The 12,427-nt window shown below is 35.5% G+C and overlaps 1 protein-coding gene across 6 annotated transcripts in view; it reads right to left on the bottom strand.

The window, feature by feature from the left end:
- WDR11 (WD repeat domain 11) overlaps nt 1-12,427 on the bottom strand; it is a 58,163-nt gene that overhangs the window by 39,227 nt on the left and 6,509 nt on the right. For all 6 annotated transcript variants that reach the window (XR_428707.4, XR_007061973.1, XM_005269963.3 and 3 more), the window contains 7 exons: nt 11,502-11,655; nt 10,016-10,189; nt 7,377-7,563; nt 5,086-5,251; nt 4,554-4,668; nt 3,534-3,729; nt 3,129-3,232 (listed from right to left, as the gene is read on the bottom strand). Coding sequence is in view for 4 of the 6 variants with exons in the window: in NM_018117.12 (NP_060587.8) it covers nt 3,129-3,232; nt 3,534-3,729; nt 4,554-4,668; nt 5,086-5,251; nt 7,377-7,563; nt 10,016-10,189; nt 11,502-11,655 (1,096 nt within the window). In the remaining 2 variants the exon portion in view is untranslated. The remainder of the gene's footprint in view (nt 1-3,128; nt 3,233-3,533; nt 3,730-4,553; nt 4,669-5,085; nt 5,252-7,376; nt 7,564-10,015; nt 10,190-11,501; nt 11,656-12,427) is intronic.

The following is a 12,427-nucleotide window of genomic DNA, read 5'->3' as shown; positions in this document are numbered from 1 at the left end:
TATAGTGTGAAAGGAAAAGTATAAATAATTACTAAGAGTGGGTGATAAATACAACCTTTTGAAGCTGTAAAGTTGTTTTAATAATGTTATTTTAAAATCCACAAAATATATAGAAAAAATAGCATTTTAATCCTATTAAAATGATCCCTTAGGATTAGCCACATACTCAATATCAATCTCTCTACATAACTTTGGTTAAAAAAAGATGGAGGCCGAGTGTGGTGGCTCACGCCTGTAATCCCAGAACTTTGGGAGGCCGAGGCAACCGGATCACGAGGTCAGAAGATTGAGACCATCCTGGTCAACATGGTGAAACCCTGTCTCTACTAAAAATACAAAAATTAGCTGGGTGTGGTGGCGCACACCTGTAATCCCAGCTACTCATGGGGCTGAGGCAGGAGAATCGCTTGAACTCGGGAGGTGGAGGTTGCAATGAGCCGAGATTGCGCCACCGCACTCCAGCCTGGTGACAGAGCGAGACTCCATCTCAAAAAAAATAAAATAAAATAAAAAAGATGAAATATGAAGGAATGGGAAGCTTAACATGTAAGTGCCACACATACATATGTTGGCTTTGAGTTGACATCCAGGGAATGCCACATTTTTCTTCAAGTATTTTTCATAAGAGGCAATTCACAATGTAGGGCAAATTAGGCCTTAATAAGTATCAGCATTTATCCAGTGAATATAAATCAGCCTCTTTATTTACCTGAATTGCTTTGAATTTTCACTAAGAACACAGTGAATTTCAAATTAAAAGTTTAATTAAAAGTTTAAATTAAAATGTTTTCAAGTACGAAGCTTTATTTAACACTTTAAAATCAACTACATTGTCAAGAACTGCTATACAATCCGTATCCATTTGTCTCTTAAAAACTGTAATTTGGCCGGGCGCGGTGGCTCACGCCTGTAATCCCAGCACTTTGGGAGGCCGAGGCGGGCGGATCACGAGGTCAGGAGATCGAGACCATCCTGGCTAACACAGTGAAACCCCGTCTCTACTAAAAAAACACAAAAAAATTAGCCGGGCGTGGTGGCGGGCGCCTGTAGTCCCAGCTACGCGGGAGGCTGAGGCAGGAGAATGGCGTGAACCCGGGAGGCGGAGCTTGCAGTGAGCCGAGATCGCGCCACTGCATTCCAGCCTGGGCGACAGAGCAAGACTCCGTCTCAAAAAAAAAAAAAAAAAAAAAACCTGTAATTTATATCACTTAGATACCTAAACAGCATAAAATTTCAAACTCCTATGGGCTCCATATAACTGATTAGTGCTGTTCTTGTGTGTGTTTATAATTCTTTTCACTTTAAGTTTTCATATTAAGAGTAGACAAGGTGAATTAACTCAAAAAATTGTGTTACTGATAAAATAAATTTTGCAAAACATGTGTCCAGGCTTCCTCATATGGATTTATGTCTGGTAGAATAGATAGTGGAGAGAAATAATTTTAGATATAATAGTAAGTATCACTGAACAAAAGGATTTCATAACTGGCAGAAATCGTGAAAAAACTGAGGCCTAGAGATGAATGATGGTCTTACCCAAGATGACAGTGGAGCTGTCAGGACTGGAGGCCATTGCTAAGGAGCAGGCTCTGGAGCCAGGATTACCCGGGTCACACTTGGGCTCTTCCATTGTGTGACTGTGTGACTGTGTGGTTTAAAGTTTTAATCTCTCTGGGCCTCAGTTCTCATATGTATCAAATGGAGATAATATTACTTACATTGCAAAGCTGTACCAAGGTAATATGTAGAATATTTAGCACAGCACTTAACACAGTATGAAGTACCCAATAAATGTGATCTAATTAATGTAATTAATAATGTAATGCTTTTTTTTTGTTTTTGAGATCGAGTCTCGCTCTGTTGCCCAGGTTGGAGTGCAGTGGTGCAATCTCGGCTCACTGCAACCTCCACCGCCTCCCAGGTTCAAGCGATTCTCCTGCCTCAGCCCCCTAAGTAGCTGGGACCACAAGCACATGCCACTGCACCTGGCTAATTCTTATATTTTTAGTAGAGACAGGGTTTCACTATGTTGGCCAGGCTGGTCTCGAACTCCTGACCTCAAGTGATCCTCCCGCCTCGGCCTCCAAAAGTGTTGGGATTACAGGCGTGAGTCACTGCGCCTGGCCAATGCTCTTTCTAGTGCATCACTTATTTAGCGTTTCAACAACAACAAAAAAACCCTCCTAAATAATATCGTTTTCAATTATATTATGGTAGAATAAATAATAAAACAGAAAATCCTTTATAAACCATAGCCACAACTGTAAAAAAATTAGATGTCCAAATTGCTTGGCATATTTACAAAGCCTTATAATTTCAAGTAGCATAAAATTTGAAATCACAAACTCTCATTCTTCCTTTAATACATACTGGCCTCATAATTAAATAACTTTGAACACTTTATCTCCAAAAATGATTTTTTGAAAGAATCCCCAACATAAAAATAATTCATGTCAAAAAGTTAAAATAATCTTTTCTAATACTGCTCAGTTACTTTATTCCTTCAGTAAATATTTACTACAAAACAGGCATGCACAAGGTACTGTGCTGAGTGCTGGGAAAGACAAAATAGAATCAAACACTGTACCACCCTTGTGATGCTTACAATTGATGAGATGAAACAGAAGAAAAAAACCCACAATTAAAATATGCTGATAACTGTTAGGAAAAACAAAAGAAGAGCATTTAAATTAGACTTGGGAGATTAAAGAAAACAACATCTGAGTTGAATTTTGAATTAGGAGTAGCAGACAGAAAGGAAGCATGTACTTCATTCCAAGCTGAGGAACCAGCAAACAGCAAGGCCCTGAGTTGGCATGGCATAGCTCAGCATCGGCTCTAGGTCCAAAATCCAGATGCCTAATGTCATTGCTTTCATTTACATCAGTCTCTCACGAATGAACGTTTTCTATTTCTAACAACTATAATGCAAACCCGTGCTACTTCAGGCACTTTTCTACCTAAGTATTTTAAACCCCTCTGATTTATTTAGGAAAGAATGATTCCATGTTCTAGTTTTCTCAAGTATTAACTTTTTTGACTTTAAAATAATTACAAGTGAGTGATTCTATTAATTTTGCCCTTCAGAAAGAATACTTAACATGGAGTTAGAGGGGAAAAAAGCTTACCAATCATGTTATCTAAGGAAAGGTCTGGGAGTTTATTCTGTAGCACTCCTACAGGAATTCCACAGAAAGACACTGGTGAATATAAAGGTGACACACCAGAACTACTGCAAAGACATAATAATTAGAAGGTTTTACATACTTAAAATCTGCATTACGTATTAGGAATTCAAAGTATTAAGTCCAGATTATGGCATTCTATCTATTTTTATATTATTCATTCATCTTACCCATAGGTGAAATAGCTCTAGCAGATTTACATAATTCCCTAATAATCTAAAGCCTTAATTATTACCTTAAAAATATTTTTATAGAAAACCAGCCCTCCTATTTTTATGATTATGGAAATTTTTTATAAAAGGAAACAGGAAACAAAAAACAAAACCATGATCCTGTTGATTCATTTACCTGTTCCGTGAATTTCGATTACAAACTGCAGACTTGAGTTCCCATATCATGACCCTGCCATCACTCACTACGAGGGCGGCTGCATTCTCATTGACAGGACAGCACACCATACTGAAGGGACGGACGGTTTTTGTCACCCTGATTGCATCACACTGGCTTCGTAAATCATAGGTAAGCTCCTGAACTGGATCTGGATCTTCACATAAAATTGTTTTAAATATCAGAAAGCAGCCATATCGATACCACTACTGTTTGTTTCAATTTAAATAAAACCTCAACTAAATTTGGGCATCACTCCTTCATGAATGCAATGTCAAGCATGGCTTCACTTTTTACAATTACTACTAAATTTTTTCCAAATATAATTTACTTAATGACTGTACTAAGTTTAATTTCCAAAATAACAACTATAATCAAGATATCTTTTTTCAATATTTTAAAATAAAGACGATACTTTGAAAAAGGATCAACAGTGATATATAATTAATGAATAAATTTCCATCATAATTTGTAGTAGTCTATAAGCCTGAAAATAACTGTACTTTCCAAAAGATGTGAAAATCACTTTGATCTTTACACAGTATATAATTTCACAAAAACATTATTTCCATTCTCCAAGATAAGACTGACTTGACAACTGAGACTTAATAACCTCTGTCACTTTACAATGGAAGTTCTTACAGCCAACAAGTCAAGGGGGTATAATAATAAAGGCACACAAGGTTGGACTTGTACTGAAAAAAAAAAAAAATTCCAAAAAATAATATCTACTTGGCTCATGGATATGATCAAGAAACACAAAATTTTACTCTCTTTGATGTATACAGGAGGTGCACTGTTTTAACATCAAGAGATTAATCTTGGGCTTATACTTTTTATGCCTCTTATTATAACCATATTTTAAACTTCCTCAAAGCAAGGAGTATCATTAACTATATACCTTGGCTGGTATTTGCCACATCAAGCTTTATAAAATAATTTTGAAGAAAAATATAACATTATTGTGAGACAGAAACTCACCTGGTTCCTCATTTGAAGTGGTAAAAATGTTATTATAAGATCTTCGAACACGTAAAGTTATACAACCATTTTCATGTAGACAAAATAAACCATCACGCTGAAAGCAGGGTATTACCTTTAAATAGATGATATATTTATTTTTTAAAACACAATAGATTAATAAAGTATATACTGTGAAACTCAAACTCATATTTAGATAATATGGGCAAAAGAAAAAAAAATAGACAAATCCCAAACTTTAAAACTAAATGTACATTTAAAATATCCATTTATAATCCTAAAATAATTTGTCTTTACCCATGTGACTTAAATAGTTCAATAAATATCTCAGGATCAGTCACAATTTCTAGGGTAAATCAAACCAATCAAAAGTGCAGACAAAAAAAACAATCTAAAATAGTGTTGCTAGTCTTTTGATAAATTGAAAAGAGAAAGTGGAGAACTGAAGACAAGACTTATGCAAGATTATGGCCTTCTTTTAATATAACATTCTTAATAATTTTGGGGAATATAATTTATGAATTGTAGATACCTGTAAAAATGGAACTCCTGTGCGTTCTATTGCAATCACACCCACCGTCTGATTCACCTCAAGGTCAAGGATTAAAATCTCTCGAGGATAGAGCAACAACATGTGATTCCTTTTTGAAGGCAGGTATGCCAACTGAAGGCAATCATTGAGAGTTATGAATTCAGCACTGAAAAAAGTAAACATTCACTTGGGTCAAAGACTTCATTTATATCAGACCTAATAAAAGATTTAATTTTGTACTTTACACATAAAAATTGACAATAAAAATGTACAACTATTCCCTGAAGTGACCAACATGGGTTGGCATCCAAAACTTAGATCTCTACTATGTACCAAAATCCAAATGCTAATAATATTGTATAGGATGGGTAGAAATGTCAGTGTTTCTAAGTTTTTGAAATATTAAGTAGTAGAATATTAAGTTATTAATATTACACAAGACATGGTAAATGATAATATAATAATAGCTGGCATGCATAAGACAGTTTTATTTTACTTTTACTTTGTCATTAAAAGTACTAGGCAAACTGTTAAAATCAAGACTCAGGATGAAAAACATCAACATTTAGGGTAATTAGGGCCCCTGGACCAGGAGTTACTGGACTATCTGTATGGCTTTGGGCAAGTAACTTCCCCTTGGCTGCCTTCATTCACTTTTAAGCTGTCTTAAATCTTTTTTGAAACAAAGTTTCACTTATATTGCAGCATTTTCTTGTGTGTAAATAAAACAGGTGAAACTATAAGGATTTTAAGAGATTGTTAGGGTCTGAAAAATCATTTTAATAATTTGTGATTGTTGCATACATTCAATGACCTTTTCTATATTAAATATATTTCAATAGGAATAGACATACAATTATGTACTATTTTCATTTTACATTTCATTTTACAAACATAATTTTATTAAAAGGCTTTGAAATTTAAAATAAAGTTAGTTCACAAGACTAGAAAGAGGAATTTTTATTGCATTAAAATCCCGACTGCCATGTCCTAGTTGGGTGAGCTTGAGTAACTTTATTTAAATTGGTGTGGGACTCAGTTTTCCTTATTTGTAAAATGGGAATATTACTACTGCCAGAATTGTAGTAAGAGTCCAGGAATTAATAGATGTGAAAGCACCCAGAGCGGTTCTACTTGAAGAAATAATGTATTTCCCCAATACTCAAGATATACATATAATTCATATGAGAGAAAACTTAAGAAATATAAAACATAACTTATAAAACTATTCAGACTGCCAAATAATTTCTTGTTTATGAGAGGGAATACATAAAAAATAGAAAGTTCTCTTAAGATACTTAAGAAGTAATCTTAAGTCATTTTGGCACAGGGTGAGAGATAAATTAACTAGTGAACTTAACCAGCCTATGGCTTAATATATAGAAGTGATACTTACACACAAGTGCAAAATGTATTTGTAGAGCAATTTATATTTTTACCACATATTTTTCAAGTAGTTACTCACCAAGCCTAGAGAGAGTAATCTTGGCATATTAAAAATAAAGGCTATCTGAAAATGAATGCCAAAACAAACAAAAAAGCCTGCCAAAGCAATAATATACAGATTATTGCTATAGGAAAAAGAAAGAAACCTATTTTGAATACATCAAATTACTTAAAATAAACTTTTATTCAGTTGTAATTTCTTAATAACAGCCGACATCTTCTAAATAAATTACTATGTATCAATGACATTACATGCTTTACTTACATTATTGGATCTATTGATCTTTAAAACAACCCTATGAAATACTTTAAAGCCTTATTTTAGAGACTGGGAGAGAGAAATTTGAGTAAGATTAAAGAAGTTTCTCAGTCTCATAGCTAAAGCTTCCCCCGGAGCCTTGGCTCTTAACCAGGATGGGAGACATCTTCACCTGCATAAGAAAAACACTCCGATTTTACTGCTGAATGAGAATGCACAGCACCTAAGTCAGGAAAATGTATTTAAAATGAGTATCCAGCTTTTGTGCCCAAATTTTTAATGCATTCAATTGCCTGAACTTTAGGATCATTGCGATTTTCACAAGTAAAAATCAGAATTCAAAAATTTTAATCTATAAAAGTCAGTGGGGAAGTTTAGCACAGCTAGTGGAAACAAAGGCAATGTTAAATGCTGAATCTCCTCTTAGGGCAGGGGACAAAAATAAATATTTTTTTCCTCTAATAAATTCAAAATTAGAAATGAGAAAAAGTGAGATGAAGAAAAACATCAGTCTTTGTACATCTCCAAAAATGATGCTTTCATACCAGATAAGTAGATGAATGTTAATTTTACACTTGTAACTTACCTAGGTTTCTCTTGAGTGATTAAAATTTTTACTTTATTTAGAGCTTTCTTGGCACCTGTGGCTGTGGCCAGCTTGTTATGAGCTGGGCTAGAGTGTGGGCTGGATATGTAAACTTTTTTCCCAGGGCCTGAGGGAGGCTTGGATGGGGAGAAGTCTGAGATGAAAACAATACCCTCGCTGGTAAGCACTATATTGAGAAAAGCAAAACTCTGATTAAAGTTTAATGAAGTTTAGCATACAGTTTTATTCCAATACAATTTTGAGAGCAATATAGTGATAATTTTAATAATATATAACTGGCAATGTTATGCATTCATAACATAATGGGAATGTTCTCTAAGTTGAAGAGAAACAGGTGGTCCATTACAATTCATCAGAGGCCTCCAAGCTTGGCATTCTATATTATGTCTTATATTAAAAAGATAACATAAGGTTATTGGCAGAAAGAACAAGTGTTTGTTCTTCTAAATAAATTCAGGGCACGGACTTTCATTAAAAATCTTTCCTTATTATCCCAGCACTTTGGGAGGCAGAGGCAGGCAGATCATGAAGTCAGGAGTTCGAGACCAGCCTGATCAACATGGTGAAACCCCGTCTCTACCAAAAATACAAAAATTAGCCAGGCGTGGTGGCACACACCTGTAATCCCAGCAACTCAGGAGAGTGAGGCAGGAGAATCGCTTGAACTGGGAGGTGGAGGTTGCAGTGAGCCGAGATAGTGCCACTGCACTCCAACCCGGGTGACAGAGCAAGATTCCATCTCAAAAAAAAAAAACAAAAACAAAAACAAAAAACAAACAAACAAAAAAACTTTAACATATCCCATAACTTAAAAAAACAAAAAACCATACTTAAGAGGCTCTGCATATCACAATTAGCTAAGTTCATATATTTTATTTGATGATACCAAATTTTTATCCTGAGCTACTCAGTCTAAATATATTCCCTTTTTCTTCTCAAGCATCAGATCGAACCTTAAGATGATTAAGGAATATTCTTTTCCCTTAATATTTAGAAAACAGTAGTGGGCCCACAGTGACTTACTAAGTGTACATGAAACAAAAATAGTCAAGGAGGGAGCACCATATTTAGCAATACAAATTATGCCTTTTTATGACTGAAAAAATAATCTCCCTCAACAATGGGCCTAATACTGGAAGACATGAGCAGAAAAACCTTACTACCCTGGGTCCCAGCCCTTAGCAAGGCTGCTCTAAACACAGGGAAAAAGGATGCATTCAAGAGTTATGACAACCCTAGCACATTCAATATGAGTAAATCAAAGATGTTAGGTCAACTGACACTCTGGAACACACAATGCTTTCATCAACCAAATTACAGAGATGTAAAGAGCTGATGCAATCAAGTTAGCTGAAAGCCTTGTTGCCTTTTCAGGTTCCAGAACTCATCCTTCAAGGTCCCCTTTGCTTCCTTCTTTTGTGATGCCCTCCTTCCCTGACTCTGCCAACTGGGCCAGCCCTCCTAGGTGTTTCCCCAGCACTGCACCTATGTGAGTAAGTAAACTGGTGACCAAGTGAGTGTATGTATGCACACGTCCATATACAAACATTTACATACATAAAAGCCTAAGCACCCTGTAGTGTATTTACACAGCCACATTTCCCATGTTATTATAATTTCAATTTTGTCTGCCTTTCTCTTCCTCCTTTAACACGTGCAGACACACACACACCCCTCAATAAAAGTTGATGGGTAAAACAATTTTGAGTCATTCAAATCCAGGAAAAACATTCCTTACCATAGCTAATTCCCTTACCTCCTTCACATTTCTGATCATTATCAAAGTGAAGCCTACTTTGACCACTTTATCTCATACAACTTGCATGCCCTCATCCCCCATTCTTCTGCATCCCCTTTATCCTGCCTTTATATCACCTGTCACCTCTTACTACACTAGAATTTATTAATTCATTGTGGTCACAGTTTATGATATGACTTCTTCTCACTAGAATGCAAACTCTGTGAAGGCTCCTGCCTTTTGGGTTCTGAGACATCTTGGTTCCCAGAAGAGTAGCAATAGCTCAAGAAATATCTGTTGGATGATTAAATAGTTTCTAAACAATTTAGCCACAAAAATACCTAAAGCACATCTCATTTTTAGATCATTAGCTCAGGAAAACATTAAAAGCATATTAGCAAAAACTATCTCTGCAAGAAAAAACTTGCTTAGGCTTATTTCTTCTTTACATGCATCTGTTTATGGCACTCAAAATGAATGGCGTGAATTAGGACAATTTATTAAAAAGCAAGAACTTAACTTGGCCACAGACTGAATGAAACCCTTGATTCAAGTTATTTAAATGTTCTTAGAAGAACTAATTAAGTCTGGAGTGTCAAAGTAACTCTCTGTCCCTGGCTAGTCTAATACTATTCACAAATTCAACACAGTGAAGGTGTAGCTTGCTGATTTAATTTTTTATCATATTTGCAATGATATGAACTTATGATTGAGTATGTGTATTAGGAGCTGCAGATATATGGACTAGACATGCTTCTCCACTTCGCTCAGTCATTTTAACATTATAGATGTATAATGTGTGTGTATATCTCATGCACATAGCATTACTATATTATAAATATCTCACTTAACTCATTTTCCACAAGCAACTGTTACTCACAAGTTAAATGTGAGGGATCAAAAGGGTCAAAAGAAAAAGAAAGAATGTTATCTGCATAGCTCTTCTTCCATAGTTTGGTGCCAGTGTCGGCATTCCAGAGCACAATGTAATTTGGCGGGTGGATAGCAAGCAGTAAATCGCGGGAAGCATCTTGATTCCACAACCACTGAACATCTGGAAAGACCCGATAAAGAAAGGCAAAATTCAGAAACCACACTCTCCAAAGTCCTTGGCTAACTTGTCCTTGATATTTAGTTTTTAAAATATAATCTTTAAAAACTTAACCACCAGCCCCAAATGTGACGTGTGTGTGTGTGTGTGTGTGTGTATCAATATTCCAGAGAAAAAACTAATTCTATATAAAAATAAGTTGTCTGGTTAAACTCTCAAGGTAAAAATTTTGAAGTAATCTGAAATATTACTTCAAAGAAAATAAAAGGCAATTTGCCCTAATCATTACTTAAAACTATAAAATCAATATGAAACTCTCTTAGCCACAACCAAGATGTCAGACTTTCCTAATGTTTCTGTGGAATTACTTAATGGAACTTTACAGTTCTTCATGGTTTTTCAAAAAATAAACAGAATATGCAAAGATCTAGTTCAGTACCTAGTACACAGTAAGTATTTAATAAATATTTTTTAAATAGTCATTTAAAAAATTCATTCAGTCAAGAGAGCCACTGGAGGACTTAAGTCTAAAGAATACTGTACTGGGCAGGGCGCAGTGGTTCACGCCTGTAATCCCAGCACTTTGGGAGGACGAGGCAGGTGGATCACGAAGTCAGGAGATCGAGACCATCCTGGCTAACATGGTAAAACCCCGTCTCTACTAAAAATACAAAAAATTAGCTGGGTGTGGTGGTGTGTGCCTGTGGTCCCAGCTACTCGGGAGGCTGAGGCAGGAGAATGGCGTGAACCCAGGAGGCAGAGTTTGCAGTGAGCCGAGATAGCGCCACTGTACTCCAGCCTGGGCAACAGAGCGACACTCCATCTCAAAAAAAAAAAAAGAAAAAAAAAAAGAATACCGTACTGGTTTTAGGTCAGTAACATGAAACGAACAAACAAGCAATCTATATGAAAATGAGAATAAAATTTTGTTCATCTCTGATAATGAACAAATTACTTAATGTAGAGTAAGCACTGATGGCTAGTTCCTAACAGCAGTGGCCAATTTTCCTTATATTGTAGCTTAGATTACAAGATTGTACCACTTACTTTTTCTTATCATGCTTGAATGAGGCTGATATTGCAATTAATGAGTTTTACCAAAGCACAAATCAGTTGAGATTTGAAGAAATATGCCTAGAAGTGTATTAGTAAGGACAGAAAGCCAGATTTAGATCAGCAGAATAGGCAAAACACAATCAAGAGCTAACTTGGAATTGATAAAATTAAATGAATGGGGGAAAACCCCCAAAACCAAAAAACCACTCCAAGAGTAAGTGTATCAATATACACACTTAGCTGAGCAGACTTTCCTCACCCTGGATAGGCTTGGCATGCTCTTGGATCTCACACTGAGCTACTCCTGCTGCTACATCCCAGACGATGATCTTCCCATTGACATCAGCAGAAGCTAACCGTAAGCAATATGGTGAGCCAATGTTATGGTGATAGTTTTCCCTGGCCCATTTAACCTGTATCAAGAAGAAATCAGATCAAGTAAATACTTGCGCTGGATGAAACAGAACATAATTTTCACAAAACATCAACCAGAACCCATACTACATTTATATTACATAAACATTTAGCAAGAATAAACAGAAAACTGGTTTTCATTTTGAAGGCAGCATTTGTGTTACTTTGGTAGATATCTTTAACTGCAGTTACAAAATTGTTTTCTTTGACACATCACAAAGATCCTGTGATGAAAAATGATTCACAGCCTTAATATTTTGGGAAATTTAGGTTAAAACCCCAGGATGCCTTGAAAATCAGTTTTCCTAAGATCTAATTTATGACAAAATACCTAAAATCATATTTAGCAGAATGTTTTTCTGTATTCTAGTCTCCTAACTAAAAGAAGACAACTTAGAAACACAAAAACCTTGCAGAGGGAAAGTCAGGAGAAGGCAAAGTCAAACAAAAAACTCTAGCTGTCTCTCTCTTTCACAAAACATTAAGTTTTTCTCTAAAAAAAAAAAAATGCTTCATGCCTATAGCAACATGATTAACAATAGAATTTTTAAAATAAAAAACACATGAACTCCAGGGCAAATCTGATTAAATTCTTGAACAATGAATACTGACAGAATAAGGGAAAAATTTCATAGTCCTCACTAGGAGTCAGGCCTTCCCTGGTCACTACCACCCCTCTCTTCTCAGTATCCTGCTTATTTTCTTCAAAGCATTTACTACTACACAATTTGTACTTATTTTATTTACATTCTTTTTGCCTATTCATGAGTC

Source organism: Homo sapiens, chromosome 10 (assembly GCF_000001405.40).
Source record: "Homo sapiens chromosome 10, GRCh38.p14 Primary Assembly".
Lineage (NCBI taxonomy): Eukaryota > Metazoa > Chordata > Mammalia > Primates > Hominidae > Homo > Homo sapiens.
The sequence above is the reverse complement of the archived record's forward strand: the minus strand, read 5'-3'. Positions and strand labels throughout refer to the sequence as shown.